A 19,208-nucleotide genomic window follows, 5' to 3' on the forward strand; every position below is an offset into this window, starting at 1 on the left:
CATCCCTGCCACCCATTTCAGAGACTGCAATTTATGTGAACTTGTCATCCTCACCTGGCCTGGTGGTGCAGCTGTGTGTCCTGCCCCACCATGTCTCTGACTGCAATCTCTAAGGTCGTGCTCCTCTCCCCTAAGGAATACGAATCATTCAGTTTGCCCCTCTCACTGTGTGGTTGGCAAACTTGTCCCAGCTGTAGGTGTGGCCCCAGTGGTCCTCCCAGCCAGTTCCTTGGGAGAGCTGCTTGGCACCACCTTAGCCACGCCTCTTATTTGTAGCTTGCACCTGCTGCCCTTCTGTGGGCTGTGATTTTAGAGTTTAATTTGAACACTCTACTTTATCCTACTTAAATCTCATTTTAAAGCTCTTCTGTTTGGTCCTCAAGTATCTGGCCAAAAATATTCCGCTTGGTTTATGTGATAAGCTCCCAATTCCTTGCCAGGGTCCTCTTATTCCAGCATCAAAATCCATGGTCCAGAAGAACAGTCGTTCTCAGATCAGCTACAGAGCAGCTCTGTGTTCCCCATATGTGCCTGTTTCTTCTAAAATTATGACTCACGGCTGAGGAAGAGACTAAAGCATTGCCTTTGCCCATGTCCCTTAGCTTGCTACCCAAGACATCAAAGGTCACTAGAGATACTAACCAGGATTCCTCCAAATGTGTCATTTGCCACCATGCCCGCAGGCAGACAGGAGAAAGAGTCTGTAAGTTATATGAGTATGTGCACTCGAATGCAGGGGCTTTCACCAATGAATTCGGTAAAATATTGGTCTCAAGAGGCTCTGGGGTAAGGGGATTCTGTGGTCAGGTAAATTTGGGAATGAAATACTTTCTCTTGCTTTTGCATGATCTCAGCAGGTTAGAATCTACATTAAAAGCTCTACAATATCAAACAGAAAAGAATTATGTTTGACTCAATTTTCCAAGTGTATTCAATGATTGACACCCCCCCGCCCCCCAATCTTCTTGTGAATTTCTTTTTAACATCCTGTGGAAGGCATTTTAACCAATGCTACATACTTTAATACATGCTGGAAGAAGACAATCTGGGTAGCTACCTCTGCAGGCTCATGAGGAGTTGAACCTCATGGTAAGTCTGTTAGCTGCTGTGTCTCCCTTCTCCAGAAGGTCCAAATTTATTCTCCTTGTGCAGAGACTATACTTTTAATTTTTTCTCCAAACAGGAATTGGGAATTTCCTCTTTATTTCCATATCTATTTATTAATCAGAGTGACTTCTCTTTATGTTCTCTTTGTCCCCCTGAGTCCCTTTTCTTTCTGAATCATTTCTTTCTTTTTTTTTTTAATGTATTTTATTTACTTATTTTTTTTGAGACAGGGTCTCACTCCATTGCCCAGGCTGGAGTGCAAGTGGTACGATTATATTAATAGTTCCCTGTAGCTCCAAAATCCTGGGCTGAAACAATTCTCCCCTCTCAGCTTCGCAAAGTGTAGGGATTACAGGCATGAGCCATTGCGCCTGGCCCTGAATCATTTTTTTTAATGACATCTAGGAACCCTTTGTCAATGCTTTAAAATTCTCCTCAAGCCCATTCATTCTCTCCTTTGGCAGGAGATCAGTTCACATTTATAGCACCAATAATTTGTGACCAAGGTCAAGCAAGAAAAATAAATAATTGGCCCCCATCACAACCCTAAGGTTATATTTCCTGGACATCAACGTGACAAGTTGGAGGGCCAAGGCTCTTATGGGGCCTGGCAATGTGTTTATTTGGCTTGCATGGTGGTGTTTAAAATTGGAAAATTTTACATACACACCTGAAGCCCAGCTTCTCTTGAGAAATCAGATCTGTTAATACTGGATTGCTTTCCAACCTGGCAATGATCGACGGCCACTGAGAACTGGCTGCTCCCTTTACACAGCACTCAGGCTAGAGTTCTCACCACTCCCTAAAGCCTCACATCTACCCACTTCTCTCATTTACATGAACTGCCTGCCTCTGCATGCGTTTGGATTTGTGACCCCTCATATAGACCGCTGTAGTTTTCCCCTGGGAATTTCCCTGGACGATGCTTCAAAAGTGTCTCCGCTACTTTCTTCCTCAGATCCTTCCTGTCTGAGCTGCTGGTGTCTTTGGTTATGAGTCCTAATACATGTCTGATTTCAAGGGCTGACCAGCTGCAGCAGGGTGAGAGATGAATCATATTGGCATTTGCAAAGATCACATGCACAGAAATAAAATATCATCCAAATCTACCTCTTCTGGGAAATAATATTGCAGTTGCTCTGTGTTTGGAAGTTAGGGCACAACCTGGTAGATAGATCAACTATTCCACAATCATGGAACACTGAGAAATGAACTTGACTCTAACTACTAGAAAAGTAGCCTAAGCTCACATTTACCTTTTCCCTGAACTCACCACTTTGTACAAACCATGATTATTGTGAATTTTAAGATTATACCACCAAGGCTTGATTATTAAGGGACAAATTCTTTAGTAAGTAGATAATCCAATCCTTCAAATTTCTTCTTTTCTAACCCATCAGCTGTTAACCATTTCATTTTTCTTTAGTGCAATTTTTACCAGTTGTGGAGATGGGGCCAGAGGGGGAAATGTGTACAAGGCATGAACCAGAACGTCAGCTCAAATCAGAGGGCATCCCGTGGTGTTATCTCCACCCCAACCCTGCATATACAGAAACCGTGATTATGAGCAGCCGCTTCCCCTCTCCCCACCCAAGTTCAGGGGCAAGGTGGTACAGAAGAGGAAAGGGGGAACCTGACTAATTACAACACTCTGTTGAGAGCTCCAATAAAAGTTTCACTGAGATCAACAGTTTGCAGTTTTCATTTACCCAGGACTTTCTCACTCCCTCTTACTCTGTGGTAACCCAAAACTGGAGATTACAGACCCGCTTTCAGCTTATTGAGTTCAAAGGCAAGGTAGGGTACTTGGCTTGATTGGCAGTTTGGAATGCTCTCCAAAAAGGCCCACTTTCAGGATTAAAGGGACACTCCATTTAACAGAATAGAAAACATCTTGTTACTAGAGAGTGAAGAATTTCAATCTAAGTGTAGGTTCAATAAACATGAATATTCAGCAATTACGTAATTCCCTGCTGTGTTAGTAATTTGAGGGTATAAGTACATTCTTGAAGTGAGAAGAGCCCCTCTTTCATTGAAGAGCATTAGAAGATTGGGAAAATGCCTTCTTAGTAAAATATGAAGTGGTAAGCACCTCCTAACCCCTTCAAATTTAAACACTCCTACAATCTTCATAATAGAGATCTACAGTCTTCAAAGTAGAGATTTGATGACCCCCTTTGGAGGAGCGTTTATAGAGGGGATGCTTACACTGAGAAGGGGGTTGAAATCTAAAGTCCCATCCAAAGCTAGGAGTCTATAAGTTACTATTACAGACAGGAATCATGACAGCATGCCTTTAAATTAGAGATTCTACAATGGATTCTCATATACTGCTGCATGTTCTCCTTACAAATCCCTGTAGTAATCAATACAGCATCATACCAATACCTGATAAACTTCAAATCCATTGATTTATCTACTCTAATTCTCACAGGCACCTTGTCAGGCAGTTGTAATTTCCATTTTACACATCAGAACATTAGGAATCAGAGAAGTGAGTAACTTTCCCAATGGCACACAGTAAGTAAGAGGCAGAGTAAGGGCTGAAACTCAGTTCTTTTGATGCTGAATGCAATGAAACTCAGGAATTTGTGTCTGTATTTCACATGAGGGTGACCACGACCTGGCATAGCAGAGTTGTAAAGCCATTTGTTCAGGGTTTCTGTGAAATAATTTACTGTGAAATAAGTAAATTATTTCACAGAAGAGAGTTACTGCGTTTCCTGATAAGTACAGTGAAAGCTTGCTTTTGAAATTTCCTTTGGCCCAATAATAAGTGCATTACAACGTTTTTTAGTAAATGTTGATTTAAGTGGGGAGTTAAAATTAATCACTTGAATCTTTTTTGAGAACATCTATTACCTTTTCACCTTGTTTTTCAATTTCTTCATAATAAAACGCATGCAATTATGAAAAGTTTAAAGAAAATATGGGCGACTGAATATGCTAATCACATCAGCCGTAAATACAGATACAGACTCTGTTGTATCACCAAAATACCCTTATGCAAAAGGGCAATAATTTTCCAAAAATACTCTTATGCAAAAGGGCAACAATTTTCTGAAGTTTTAATTAGTAAAGTACAATAGAAGGCCAACAAACTCTGACATTATTTTTTCTGGAGCTAAAAACAAACAAAGAGACATGTTAAACTAACTTTAAAAGCCACCTAAGTTGCCCTCTCCCTGAAGGCATCTGAAATTGTGGTGGTGAGGAAGAGAGAATGACATGCGGATTCTTTTTTTCAATATGGATTTCTACTTCACAACCAAATAGCATGCTTTAAAGCTCAAGGTTTATAAGAAAGCTCTGTCGTTGGTTTCCATAGTTTTTCCAGCCCTGATGTGTACTGACTCCTCCAGGGCAGCAGAGTTGGCTCCTTCTCCTCTCTCCTGATGCCCCTCTTCCTTCTCTCTCCCCCTGGGGATTGCCTCTTTTCTGGGTCTTTCTGACTAACACTCTGTCTGTACTATTCTAACACTTCAGCAAGGTTCAGTATTTTAAAGTCCCAGTGTTTCTAGGAGCCCTGAAATTTTTGCTCCACAAATACTTTGAAAGGTAAGCCATTCCTTCATTAATCTGTTCAAAAAGCACTTACTGATGGATACCCTCACTGTCCACTCACCCACTCCTAGGATAAGATGCAAACTCTGGTGCAGACCAGCGAGATCTGCTGCAACTGCTCCCCCCGCCTTTTCACTCCACCCGGGAACCTCCGGCCTCTCCGCTCATGTCCAGTGTCCTCTCACACTTCAGCCCTTCTCCCATACTGCTTCCCTCCTCCTAGCATTTCCCCGGTTGCTTCTCTCCTTGGCGAATTTCCATTTCTGTCTCCAGCGCTCATGCAAATGTTACCTTCCTCCTGAAGTTTCATCCTAGTCTCTCACAACACCCTCATTGTTCACGTCCCTTCGTGAAAACAAAGCTACCATATTACATTGTATTTCCTTCTTGTGTGAAGGTCTGGGGGAAGACTGATGCTGTGGGCTGAATTGTGTCCCCCCCAAAAATGATATGCTAAAGTCCTCACTCTCTATACCTGTGAATGTGACCTTATTTGGAAATAGGGTCTTCGCAGATGTCATCAAGTTAAAATGAGGTTATACCGGGTTAGGGTGGGTCCAATCCAGTGACTGACGTCCTTATAAGAAGAAGGAGATTTGAACAGAGACACAGATACAGAGGGAGAAGGCCGTGTGATGATGGAGGCAAAGATTTGCGTGACTGATACATCTACAAGCTAAGGATGTCAGACTGGCGGCAACCTCTAGAAGCAAGGAGAGAGGCACAGAAAATCATTCTCTCTCAGAGCCTGGGGAAGGAATCAACCCTGCTGACATCCTTCAGACTTGTAGCTTTTTTTTTTTTTTAGATGGAGTCTCATTCTGTCACCCAGGCTGGAGTGCAGTGGCATGATCTCGGCTCACTGCAACCTCCGCCTCCCGGGTTCAAGTGATTCGCATGCCTCAGCCTCCCAAGTAGCTGGGATTACAGGTGCCCACCCGCCACCATGCCCGGCTAATTTTTGTGTTTTTAGTAGAGACGGGGTTTCACCATGTTGGCCAGGCTGGTCTTGAACACCTGACCTCAAGTGATCCGCCTGCCTCTGCCTCCCAAAGTGCTGGGATTACAGGCATGAGCCACTGCGCCAGGCCAGACATGCAGCTTTTAGAGCTACGAGCGAATACATTTCTGCTGTTCTAAACCACCCAGCTGTGGTGCTTTGTTATGGCAGCCCAGGACACTGATATAGTTGGTATTAACTTCTGTATGTGCTCATCTTCCCAGTTATACCCACGAACTCCTGAAAAGCAGGGGCTGTGGTGCTCCATCGTTCCTCTCAGACCTAGCATGATGCTAACACAAATAGATGCTCAACTCATTTTGGCTGAATGAAGAAACATGCTTAGCATCACCCTTCTGGATTTAGTTCAGTGGATCCTGAAGAGAGTCAGACTCCTCTCCGAGTGAGAAAGCTTATGAACAAGTTGGAGACATAACAGTAGTTTAGCATCCCAAACAATGAATTATAGAAGACAAAGAGGGTGCAGCAAAGTGGGACAGAATGTGTCAAAAACACTGGAGATGGGCTGGGCGCGGTGGCTCACGCCTGTAATCTCAGCACTTTGGGAGGCCGAGGCGGGCGGATCACGAGGTCAGGAGATCAAGACCATCCTGGCCAACATGGTGAAATCCCGTCTCTACTAAAAATAAAAAAATTAGCCGGGTGTGGTGGCGGGCGCCTGTAGTCCCAGCTACTTGGGAGGCTGAGGCAGGAGCATTGCTTGAACCCAGGAGGTGGAGGCTGCAGTGAGCCGAGATCACGCCACTGCACTCCAGCCTGGGCAACAGAGCGAGACTCCGTCTCAAAAACAAACAAACAAACAAACAAACAAAACAACAACAACAACAAAACATTGGAGATGGAGTGTAAGAGAAAGTGGAGTACCAAATGGGTTGGTTAAGTAGGTTCGTTCAGAATATTCTGTGCTGCATTTTGAAACAAGTGATGACTAGGTCACAAGAGGAGATGTCATCTAGGTTGAGGGATTGAGGGAATGAGAGCAGCTGTGTGGGGAAGGTGAGAGTAACAGAGCAAGCAAGCAAGAAGGTGAGGCTGGTGTTTGAGGAGGAGAATGTTATAAAGGGCGCTAAATGCAAGCATGGGATGTAACGTGGGAGGGGGGTGGTGGAAGTAGGTGCTTGTGCAGCAGCAACAGGACCACAAACGTGTCCCAGGGAGACTAATGGGCAGCTCCAGGCAGGGTGGGCCTGAATGGGAAGGGCATCGAGATGGGCCAGAGGGTGGCTGAGGAAATCCTGAGGATGGAACATCTTGGGGACCAACTGGGAAGTGAGGAGCACAGGAGGCAAGCGGTCTCACAAGTAAATAAAATTGTGCAATTAAACTGTGCAGCTTGGTCAGTTGTGGAGTGGGAGGCAGAAAGCTCCCATCTGGGTGGGGACCTGGTGGGTGCAATGAGTACACTGCTGGGCTCAGAGAAGGTGGTGTGTTTATCATCCTGGATGAATGCAACTCTCTGTTTTTGGAAGCCTTTGCAAGAGATTCCAAAACTACTCTCAATAACTCATTTCAGTCTTTAATATGTCTCCAGGCCAGAAGATTCCTGCTCCCATCCAAAAGAGAATTCTTTACTTTTAGAGCACATTTTTTCCCTCTCTCATTCTTTCCTGAACTGAGATGAAGAGTAAGGAGGTGCAGTCACTATTTCCTGTTGTGAATCCTTCACACACTTGAGGCCCATTCCCAGTACGTTCTCTGTTTCTCTCCAGGAAAAGTGATTTTGGATAACTTGTGGTTTTCTCATGGGCCCTTTAATCATATCTATGGCTCTTTTCTAGTCTTTTTTTGGGTGCATCTTTGGTCATGGGGCACAAAACTGGGCACATGGAGAGGCAGGGAATTGTAGCAGGCTAAGAGGAGATGTGGAGTGGACAGGCCTAGGTGTGAATCGTAGCTTCTCTAGTAACTAGTGTGGTCTTGAGCAAGTTGCATCATCTCTATGAGCCTCACTTTTCTCATCTGTAAGATGGATCAATAATACTTACACTTGGTGAGTTGTGCCACTTAAAAATAATGTACATGAGATTCTTGAAAGCTCTCAATAAATGATGGCTACTATTGTTGGTATGGGTTGGAGCAGGACTGATTACATTGGGAAAACCACCTTTCTAAACACTTTAATAAATGAGCTCATGGTTATTCATGCTTTAAAAACTATACTAGGCCAGGTGTGGTCACTCACGCCTGTAATCCCAGCACTTTGGGAAGCCTAGGTGGTTGGATCAACTGAGGTCAGGAGTTTGAGACCAGCCTGGCCAACATGGTGAAACCCGCTCTCTACTAAAAATACAAAAAAATTAGCTGGGCATGGTGGCGCGCACCTGTAATCCCAGCTAATCAGGAGGCTGAGGCAGGAGAATTGCTTGAACCCTGAAGGCGGCCATGTCAGTGAGCCGAGATAGAGCCACTGACTCCAGCCTGGGTGACAGAGAGAGAGACTCCGTCTCAAAAAAACAAAAATAAAAACAAAAACTATACTACTGCATAGTTCAGACAGCAACTCTTGCTATCTCTGGTGGTCAAATAAAACACAAACTGGTTCTTTTGAGATACAGCAAAACTATAGACAGGACCCAGAATCGTGTTGAAAGGATAAAATATTTTTCATTTACCCTGCACGATAGTAGAGCTGCATAACATCTGAAATAGTTATTTCAATTGTGAAGGGACTTGGGTAATGGTATCTTTAAAACACTCAATGACTGAACAAAAGCGTTGGGACTTTTTAATTGGAAAAGGCCAATAAAACTCCTACAGCAGATGAACTCACTCCATTCAGCTCCTTTCTATCACCTTCCCTTCATAACCTATAAATGCTACTATGTTAATGTTTTAAACTAGTGTCTAGAGCATGATCTCAAGTCAATAAAATTGTGCAATTAAAATGCTGAAAGAAAATATGTTATAGCGCTGAGTGTTTATTTCTTGGAGGAGGGGATGCAAAATATGATTTTTTTTACAATGAGCCTGAATGACTTATATAAAGAAAAATTAGTTTAAAAATGATATGTATAGCTTTATAAAAACACATTATCACAAATATTTTAAGGTATATCTATCAAGTTAACTGCTGTAATGCACCAAAATGGCAATATTGTGTTTCTCCATGATGGGAATATGAGTGATTGGTTTTTTTTCTCTTACTTTAACTTTTCTGAACTTTCCAAATTATTTATAATGATATTGCAATGTGCTATATAATAACACTGTCTGATGTATTATTTAATTACATGATAAATGTATTGATATTTTATTGAAAAACGTTTAAACAAGATAAATGATGAGAAAAATAATTCCATATATTTCTACATTGATGACTTACACCCTATTTAATATTAAATAGATGTTTATCTGCCTATATTAGAGAATCACCAAAATTCAGAGTCTTAATGGCTTCTGAATCATCTAACATGGTTATTATCTGATGTAGGATCTGTCTTTGTAATAAGAATATTAATAACAATCATAATAGCTACCACTGATGTGCCCGACTCTGTAATAGACACTTTAAATGCATTGTTCCAATAGATCCTCGAAATAAGCCTATGAGGCTAGTAGGTGGAACAATGCCCTGAAGATGTCCACGTTCTGATCCCCAGAGCCTGTGAGTATGTTAGGTTACGTGGCAAAGGGGCGAAGGGGGAATTAAGGTTGCAGATAGAGTTTAAGTTGCCAGTCAATTGACCTTGAGATGGGGAGAGGATCCTGAATTTTCTGGGTGGGTTCAGTGCAATCAGCGTTCTCATAAGTGGAAGAGGGAGGCAGGAGAAAGAATGTCAGGGGGACGCCATATGAGAAGGACTCGACTGGCCACTGCTGGCTTCAACAATGGGAGGGGGCCAGGAGCCAAAGAGTGGTGACACCTGGAAAAGGCAAGGAAACAGCTTTTCCCCCAGACTCTCCAGAAAGGAATGTAGCCCTGATGGCACCTTGATTTTAGCCCGGTGACACCTATTTCAGACTTCCAACCTCCAGAACTGTAACACAGCAGTGCCGTTTTTGTCGTTGTTGTTGTTGTTTTTTGAGACGGAGTCTCGCTCTGTCGCCCAGGCTGGACTGCAGTGGCGCGATCTCGGCTCACTGCAAGCTCCGCCTCCCGGGTTCACGCCATTCTCCTGCCTCAGCCTCCCGAGTAGCTGGGACTACAGGCGCCCACCACCACGCCTGGCTAATTTTGTTTTCGTATTTTTAGTAGAGATGGGGTTTCACCGTGTCAGCCAGGATAGTCTCGATCTCCTGACCTCGTGATCCGCCTGCCTCGGCCTCCCAAAGTGCTGGGATTACAGGCGTGAGCCACCACGCCCAGCCAGTAGTGTTGTTTTAAGCCACTAAGTTTGTGGCAGTTCATGACAGCAACAACAGGAAACTCACATAATATTATACCTCAGTTTTACAGGTGAGCCGACTGAGGTTCAGGGAGAGTAACTTGGTCAAGGTCACACATAGTGGTTAATGAGAACTCCAGGATTTGAATCCAGGTTGTATGATAATGGAACCTTTCCTACTGGGCACTTGCTTCCAAAATCATTGCCAGCATGGGCTTGAACGTAAAATAGGAAAACTCATCACCTTCTCCAATAGCTCACTGCACTTGAGGATGGCTCTGACCAGTAGAATTAATGTCCTATTTGGGGCTTAACCCAGTCTTGCATTCCAGTCACCTTTTCATTGATTAATTGTGCAAAATAACACAATTCCTGCTTTATACGAAAAGCCTTTTAAATATTTGAGGCCAATGATCACTTCTCTCTAAGGCTTCTCTTCTTTGGGTGAAACAATTCCAGATTCAGCCTTTTGCTCGAAGACATCTAAAGTTCCAGCACCTTCTCAACCTCTCCCTTCTGGAAAGCATCCAGACTGTCAACACTCACGTTAGGATCCAGCCAGTTCCTACCTTACTTTGAATTTGTGTGCTTTGATTTTCTTCCATAAGGTTATCGTGCTAACCTCAACTCTTGTGAACTGATTACACATTACATCTTGAGTTCTTTGATGGAAATATTTCTAGAAATCAATCAGTCAGTAAATACTGATAACTTTGGGATTATCTGGCCTATAGTCTTGAAAACATAGCGTGCTTTCAAGTTCCTTCTGATATGATCACAAACCGATTCTACTCTTTGTTGACATGAATAAGACCTTTCCTGTTCTAGCCTAGCAGGGGCTACAAGAAAAAGCCCATTAAGCTACAGAAAGAAACGGTTCTGGCCAGTGGGTAACCTTGTAGGGAGGCTTGAGACGCCACAGGCTGCTGCTGTGTAACAGTCTGAGAGGTTGTGCTGTCTGTTCCCACGCGGACTAGGGACCCAGGAGGAAAATGAAAGGATTGTTAAGAGTCAGTGTGATTTCATCATATTATTTAAAATACTACGAATGTTAGGGCAGGGAGAACTGCATACAAATATTAATAACAGACTCCCAAAATCTTTGATCATCCACCACTGTAGATGATCCACGTGGTTGCTCCCTTTTTTCTGCGAATAATCAAGAGTTAACTATAAACAATCCAACAACAACAACAAAAAACCCTGGACTTCTGCATTTGTGTAACGTTGAGCACCTGATGAAAAAAACATGAACCCATATTTCATTCATTTTACTCTCTGCATCTCTCCCAAAGAGAGGTGGGGAGGGTGGGGGACAAAACATTTTTGTGGCTTAGTATATAAACATTCAAGTAATTAAGTCAGTTGCTCTGTCAGAATTGACTTGAAAATCAAAGGTTCTTGAGCACAAAACATAAGGTTTGTATTTCTTTATAAATACCTACAGGAATAAGAAAAAACACAGAAAATCCCACAATTAATTTCATTTGGGGCTTTTCTGAATCCCAGATATTTAAGAAAAATAGTTTGCTATATTGAGGGAAGCAGGTGCAGACAGTCTGGACCTCTGGCTACCTACAGCAGGTCTCTTTTGAGGTGCCAAATATTAGATGAAGAGAGGCAAAGCCTAATTCAGGGCACAGAATGAAGACTTTGATGGCAAGGATTTTTAACTTTGCTATATTTGCTGCTGTTGAACCTTTATGCCTTGAGAAAGTCACACATCTGGGTTGTAATAGTGGGCTACCTCACAGGGCGCCAGGAAAGAATAACTTAGAAGGGTTTCATTTTTAGATATAAGAAGAAAATCTTATGTAAATCATGATATATTTTATGCTTGTGACGGCAGAGCATACTGCAGGTATTCAAGAGAGGAAGCCCTTCCTTTCATTTTCAGAACTGTGTGACTTGAGCTTTGTCGGTTTCTATTTTGTTCCCCACAGAACATCTCTGTCTTTATCTGAGGTCAGGGTTGGGGAGAGGTACGTGGTGGGTGAGGGGAAAGAAGTATCCGTGAGGGAGGGTTAGTCACATCCCCAGCATCTGACCACAGGGCCACTTGCCTACCTGCCATGCAGTCCATGACCCCTGCTAGTAAGCCAGAAGCACCCAGGGAGCACATGGAATCTGTCCTGCCACTCTCCTTTACTCACTCCTGCCCTGTTCCTCCTGAGGCCATTTCACCTGGGGTCTATGACCCCCTCCCTTGATCCTGCTAGCCTGGATTTGGCACTGGACTTCGAATCTCTAGTGTCCAGATCCCCAACCTCTGCCTCTTGGACTTCCATGGAGCCAGTGAAGGGGATTTCCTCTAGAGCTTCTGTCCTGTAGAATCCAAACCAACCAAAGTGGTGCCATATTCCCACCCCCAGGAGAAGGATTTGGGCAGATTCAATGCATCACTGCTGGGGTCTCCTCCAACTTTTAGTTGTCCTCCAACTTTTCAGGTTAAAGGCCATGTCAATGGAGCATTGATTCTGTGATAACTGAATCCAATTTGTCACTCCATTAAAAACAACCCTTTTATTGTCAATACTTTATCGTCAATTTAAGGCAATGCTTGTTATTCAATGATATTCAACAACAAATGTTTATTGCGAACCTCCTGTGTACTATGAACTTAGGTATTATGTCACTAAATACTTATAGCAACATTGCAAGATTTTCAAAAGAGGCAGCAAAGGATTAAGAAGATTAACTTGCCCAAGGTCACATAGCTAATAAGCGGCAAAGCCAAGTTTTGATGCCAACTTACTCTATACCCTGCTGCCTTCTTCTATAAATAGTTACTAAGTGCTTAGTTATTTACAAGGTATATTTCCAACCTCTTAAAAACTCAAGCTACATTAGGGCTTCTGGGGAGCCCCTCATCAGTGACTCCATGGGACCTGCTCCAAGAAAGCTAATATTTCAGAACCTGTTAATTAGTCAAGGGCTTTTGAGAAAGGTGGTCAGCTTCTAGTAGGAATGAAGCACTGCTTCGGTCCCTCTGAAGGGCCTAACAGGAAATAACTTGCTTCAGCCTCAACTGCTGAGAGACGCGGTCAAGTGGATACACTCAACAGGTTTAGAATAACACATTCCGCAAGTACTCTGAGTTTCTAACCAACAATGAAAACATTCCACAGTTAGACTTCTCTTTCTAGACACTCACTGACAGTGACATTAGAATTAGGTGGCTTTTATGTATAGATTTCATATGCAAAACCCTTCATGGAGACTTAATCTGGAAACTTCATGGTGGGCTGGTTTTTGGCTATCTGGAAGACTTTGACGGGATTCTTGGCTCCTCTGCTAGTACTGATTGCTGCCTGTTTGTGGGACTGAGAGTCCCTCTCCTTCTCCCTAAGTTGAAACCCTCTTTCCTCCATTCTTTTGACTTTATTGCAAACACCCTACTCTGTGACTACTGGCAAAAGTGTCTTCTTTTTATTAATTCCTCTGTCCTTGCCAGGGCCACCTCATAGGTGTGAGATGTGGACTCCAGGGCCCCACACTTAAGAGGGCTCAGTGCTTAGTTTAATGCTTTGCTGTCCCATTTTTGAGGAAGGGGCCTCACATTTTTAATTTTGCACTGGGTCACACAGATCATACAGCCAGTCCTGCTCCTTGCTGTGGACGTGGAAACAGGGAGAATGCTCACACCATACAAGGTATGACTGGATGGTGTACCTGTTCTCCTCCCCTTTGGAACTCAGCAGGCATTTTCCCACAGAGACAATCCATAAAGGCAGATGATGCCAATGACAGCTCCATCCTCCTTAGCCTCAGTTCCTTCATTTCTAAAATGGGGACAGTAGCACTTACCCTTGCATGTTATTGTGAGCAATGAGTGGGATGATGTATAAAGTACTTATCAGAGTGTCTGGTATACATCAGTGCTTGCTCAATGAAATCTATGTGAGACAGCAGTTGCGGCAAACAGAGCTTGGACTCTGGAGTGAAGAGCTAGGTCAGAAATTAAATTAGCCCCACTGCCTAAAAAATACATGACTTTTGTTAGTTGACTTGGTTTCTTCCAGTGTCAGTTCCTTTATCTGTAAATGGGAATGCTAATATTTATCTTGAAAGGTTGTTTTGTGATTTAAATAATTTAATGTATTTAAAGACCCTAGTTCACCACTTGGCATCTAGGAGGAGCTAAAAAAATGAAAACAGTTCTTAGTCAGGTTCCCCTTTAACACTATTGCTACACCTAAAACAACCAATTTGGCCAGGAGTGGTGGCTCACACCTGTAATCCCAGCACTTTCGGAGGCCATGGCAGGCAAATCACTTGAGGTCAGGAGTTCAAGACCAGGCTTGCTGACATGGTGAAACCCCATCTCTACTAAAAATAGGAAGAAAAGTTAGCCAGGCGTGGTGGTGTGTGCCTTTAATCCCACCTACTCAGGAGGCTGTGTAGGAAAATCACCTGAACCTGAGAGGCAAAGGTTGCAGTGAGCCAAGATCACACCACTGCACTCCAGGCCAGGTGACAGAATGACTCTTTCTAAAAAAAAAAAAAAAAAAAAAAAGACCAAAAACATCCCCCAAAAAGAAAACAATCCATTTGCAAATGATGTTTGGGATATGACCATTAATAAGTTCTTACATATTATACGACTTCCTGTATACTATATCACCTATGAAATGTAACCACCTTGTATGTTAAAATAATTTTGTAAAGAATACTTGAGCACTATTTTTCCTTTTCTTTTGCTAGACGACGATTTCCTTGAAGGCAGGGGCCACATCTTATGTGCCCTTTATTCCAGATCACTTTCAAACACTTTAGAATCTCAGTTGAATCAAATTTCTCTTTTGTTCTTTATGCCAACAGTGAGACGATAATCTCCCTAACATTCCTCAATTAGCAATTAATGATTAGCCTATTGATAACTAGGAGGTAGACAGGGCCAAAAATAACCCCATCTCTGCCGTTAAAGGCCTTTTCTTTTTTGCCCATCATACATGGCTCGTATTCCTGCCTCCTCGGTTCTGGTTCTTGCTCCATTAATGAAACTATTCCATCAGAGAACATAACTTGGTTTTCTGGAACCCACTATCTTCCCTGGCAACAACCCATCTAGAGAGGCCATGGAGGAAGAATTTCCTGAAACCCCAACATTTGAGTCATAATTTGATGCCTCTTAGGATTCAAAGAGGCCTCAGACCTGTGACTTTTAAACATTTTGGGAGTATAGGTTCCTTTAAGAATCTTCTGATAGTTATGGACATTCTCTGCAGAAAAATACATTCAGTACCTTAGTACAATTTCAAGGTGTTCTCAAAACCCCTGAAGCCCTTGGATCCCAGGTTAAGAATTCTTGTTAGAATAGCCAAGAAAAGGGAATCAGCAACGTGAATGATTCCGGTTTCCTGGTAAGTGTTCCGGACCTGACTAGTCACTCTCCCTTGCTGAAAACAAAACAAAACAGAACAAAACACAGCAATGACAACTCCCAAGATTTAACCTCAAGATTATCCCTGAGAGTCCAAACCTGGGCAGTAATGGTAAAGGCTTCCGGCCAAGCAGTAACTACTCTTTGGAGAACCTCAGTTCAGCTGAGTAAAATAGGCCTTGTTTGATAATGCCGTTTACATTTCCAAATCCTGGGTATCAAGCTTTCTTCCTATGCCTTGCGGCCTTTCCTAAGTTTAGCCGCTGGTGTAATGGGGTAACCATGGCAACAACCACCTGCCTATTTAAAACCATCTCCAATGCTAAATAAGGAAGCCTGAAGAAAATGGCTGCTTGCCTGCCTCTCAGTGGACAAATTGGGCACTCCTGGGTATTTTAGACATGGGCGAATAGGCAGGGTAGAAGCAGTATGTATGCAAAGTTCTTCATAGGAAGCGTTCGGTGACCTTGTGAAATAGGTGCTACCTCAGCCCTTCTGTCTTCGTTTGTTAGGCGAGCACGCAGGTTTACGTGCAAATCCGTGGGCCTGTCACCATGTCATCCATGCTACCTTGACCTCAGTCAGGTGAAGAGTGAGCTGAGAACCTACCCTCAGAGAGAAGTATTGTTTATAGGATCTCGGAAGGGAGAAGGAAAAACAGTTCTACAGATCACAGTGAATTTGTTCATACTTTGCATTAAAATGCACGCTACAATCTTTTTTTTTTTTTTTTTCTGACGGATGTGTCTTTCTAATTGTACTTAATCATGTGGGTGATGGATGATTGCTCTATTTATGTCATATGTTGGCCTGCCTATTGATTTTTGGCATATGGAGAAATTTCTCCCTCCCTCTGCTTCCTTGCTTTCTGGGAATTACAGATGTTTGGTTTCTTTCCTCTGCCGAGACCATACAACTGATCACACTGAACATCTTGCTCTTCCACAAGTATACTGCACCCTCTCACTCCTTCGTATCTTTTCGTACATTTGCTTCCTTCTCCCTGTGTTGCCCTCCTCTTTTTCCGTGTCTTGGTTCAGGCGTCTCTGTCATTGGAAAACCCTCCATGCCACGTTTCGTGTCCTTGGTTTTTGCTCCCATAGGTCACCTCCAGTTACATCACTTAACACAAACCATTCTGCACATCTGCTTTCCAGCCTGTTTCCAGCACCAGGCTGTGAGTCCCCTACATGCGTCTGTCCAAAATGCCTGTAGAACAGTGTCTGGTGTGCATTACGTTTTCAAAAGATCTGCTGAATGAATGGATGAATGAATGAACAGAGCCCCGTGGCTTTCACAAGCATATGGCACATGTGCATGAGTACGTATAAGGATACTTGTGTGAGGCCGGGTGCAGTGGCTCAAGTCTGTAATCCCAGCACTTTGGGAGCCTGAGGTGGGTGGCTCACTTGAGGTCAGGAGTTCGAGACCAGCCTGGCCAACATGGTGAAACACTGTCTCTACTAAAAATACAAAAATCAGCTGGGTGTGGTAGTGGGTGCCTGTAATCCCAGCTACTTGGGAGGCTGAGACGGAAGAATTGTTTGAACCCAGGAGGTGGAAGTTGCAGTGAGCCAAGATCGCGCCACTGCACTCCAGGCTGAGCAACAGAGCGAAACTCCATGAAAAAAAAAAAAAAAAGATACTTGTGTGAAAAGAGGACCTTAAAAGCCTGAGGAATGGGTTGAAGAGGAGTACTTTTTAAAAAAGTGGTTTGTGTGTATCTGGGAGTGCAAAAGACCGTTAGAGGAGATCATCTGAACTGTAAGTTTGTGACTATAGTATCAGGGGCTGGAAGTACACGTGTTCCTAGTGTGCAGTGAGTGTGTATAGTCTGTGTGTGTGAGAGCAAGAAGATGCTGTGGCAGGATGCACTTCCTAAAAGGTTCGTTCAGCTGCTATCGGATCCCACAGATCGCTCTTTCTGAAGCTATAGTGTTCAGTTTCTGACCTCTAAAAAGACCTCCTTCTTCTTGGTTGACTTCTCAGGCTGTGGGGTCAGGACAAAGAGTAGGAATGAAAATGGCCAGTGATGAAAATGATGGGTCCTGGGCTTTAAATGAATGTCTTCAATGAACACTCTAACCTCTCTTTTAAGGACAATTCTTGCTTGTAATCCCAGCACTTTGGGAGGCCGAGGAGGACGGGTCACTTGAGGTCAGGAGTTTGAGACCAGCCTGGTGAACATAGTGAAACCCCATCTCTACTAAAAATACAAAAGTTAGCCAGGCATGATGGTGCACGCCTGTAGTCCCAGCTACTCAGGAGGCTGAGGCAGGAGAATCGCTTGAACCTGGGAGGAGGAGGTTGCAGTGAGACAAGATCACGCCACTGCACTCTGGCCTGGGTGACAGAGTGAGATTCCATCTCAAAAATAAATAAATAAATAAATAAATAAAAAGACAATTCTGTGGGCTAAATAAAAGTCAACACCTTTAGGCTCAAAAACAAAGTCCAAATCATTATCCATTCTTCTCCCAACCTACCTAGGGTTGGGGTGGGAACAGTGTCTGAAATAGTGGTCATCTTGAAATAGTACAACAAAGAAAAAGAAAGAAAGAATGAAAATTGACTAATGAGAAGATACAGACAAAGAAGGAAAGAGGGAGAAAGGGGTAGCTATACGTCAGTCACAACTAAGTTCTGGCAAATTTCATCCTACAAGGAAGAAGGGTTTGCTTTCTCTTGCAAATGATCTGGTTTCCTCTTTCCTTTCATTTTTGAACCTAACTTGGTGACTTCACAGAGTGCCCAGGCTGAGGCTGGGACTTAGTGGGTTCCGGGTCTCCAGCCTTTGCAGGTACCTCTCTGCTGCTGCCCTCTGCTGTCGGGGGAGGCAAAGGAGACACCCTTCTGGTCCTCCTGGTCCAAGTCCCGGAGCTGCCACCTCCTCCCATTTGAGACCGACAGAAGCTAGGGTCTCTTCCAGCCTCCCTGCTCTTCCCCAAAAGAATCATGAGGGGCTGGGGTTGGAGGCGCTGTACTTGGAAGCAGCAGAGACTCAGGACGGGGGTTCCAGTTAGACAAGGGCAGACGCCCTCCCACCTCCTCCCCTGCAAAAGCAGGCCCTTCATACCCACCTCCTGCCCTCCAGCCCTGCCCTCTGCACAGATCCTTTGGGAGAGGACAGGCAGTTAGCCTGCGCCAAGTTTCTGACACTTTTTTTTTTCTTGGAAATGGAAACCCTCCTTCCGGCAAGTGGCAGGAAGGCCAAGTCCCCAGCGGCCCTGGCTGGGAAAATTTCCAGAGAGCAGGTGAAAGGCCTCTGTTCCGCCAGGGCCACACTGGGTGGGTGGCAGCGCAGCCGGGCCTGCAGCTTACCTGCTGTTGAATTTTTCAGGATGTTTCTCTCTCATCACATGGAATCTGTGTGCAATGGAAGCGTCCTGAAAGTGAAAGAGACAAAGCAGATCCTTGGTGAGTGGTCATGACAGTGCAGTGCGGAGGGAAGGGACGCACGCATGCACTCGCTGAGTCATGCCAACCCTGGGACTCTATCTATCGCATGGTGGGGCTCCAGGTCACATCCGCGGAGCCAACAGAGGCTCAACACTGCCTCCAGGGGGATGAGCTAGCACCACCAATACTCTTACAGCCTATGCCAGTTGACTCTGGAGTCCTTGCTATTTCACTCTAGCCCGGACCCGCTGAGAACAGATAGATAGTTCAGGGGTGAGTGAAGGGGAAAGCCTTTGCCCTCTGGGGAGACTGAGAGTCTGTGAGCAGTTAGAGATCAGGAGCCTGTGTCTGGGGCTGAGCATGAGTCTCTGGAAATGACTTTCCATACTAGTTCTTTTTAAAATAGTTT

At 43.9% G+C, this 19,208-nt stretch overlaps 1 protein-coding gene across 3 annotated transcripts in view, besides 2 other annotated features; it reads right to left on the reverse strand.

Annotated features, from left to right (window-relative positions):
• Positions 1 to 19,208, reverse strand: part of DGKG (diacylglycerol kinase gamma) — a 215,034-nt gene that overhangs the window by 76,582 nt on the left and 119,244 nt on the right. For all 3 annotated transcript variants that reach the window (NM_001080745.2, NM_001080744.2, NM_001346.3), the window contains one exon: positions 18,722 to 18,786. In NM_001080745.2, the coding sequence (NP_001074214.1) occupies positions 18,722 to 18,786 (65 nt within the window). The remainder of the gene's footprint in view (positions 1 to 18,721; positions 18,787 to 19,208) is intronic.
• Positions 1,879 to 1,928: a silencer, noted in NCBI's record as "silent region_14981". NCBI's record gives its function as "represses an Ori minimal core promoter by ATAC-STARR-seq in GM12878 lymphoblastoid cells {active_cell/tissue: GM12878}" and the evidence as "EXISTENCE:reporter gene assay evidence [ECO:0000049][PMID:35858748]".
• Positions 18,472 to 18,521: an enhancer, noted in NCBI's record as "active region_20933". NCBI's record gives its function as "activates an Ori minimal core promoter by ATAC-STARR-seq in GM12878 lymphoblastoid cells {active_cell/tissue: GM12878}" and the evidence as "EXISTENCE:reporter gene assay evidence [ECO:0000049][PMID:35858748]".

Source organism: Homo sapiens, chromosome 3, assembly GCF_000001405.40.
Source record: "Homo sapiens chromosome 3, GRCh38.p14 Primary Assembly".
Classification (NCBI taxonomy): domain Eukaryota; kingdom Metazoa; phylum Chordata; class Mammalia; order Primates; family Hominidae; genus Homo; species Homo sapiens.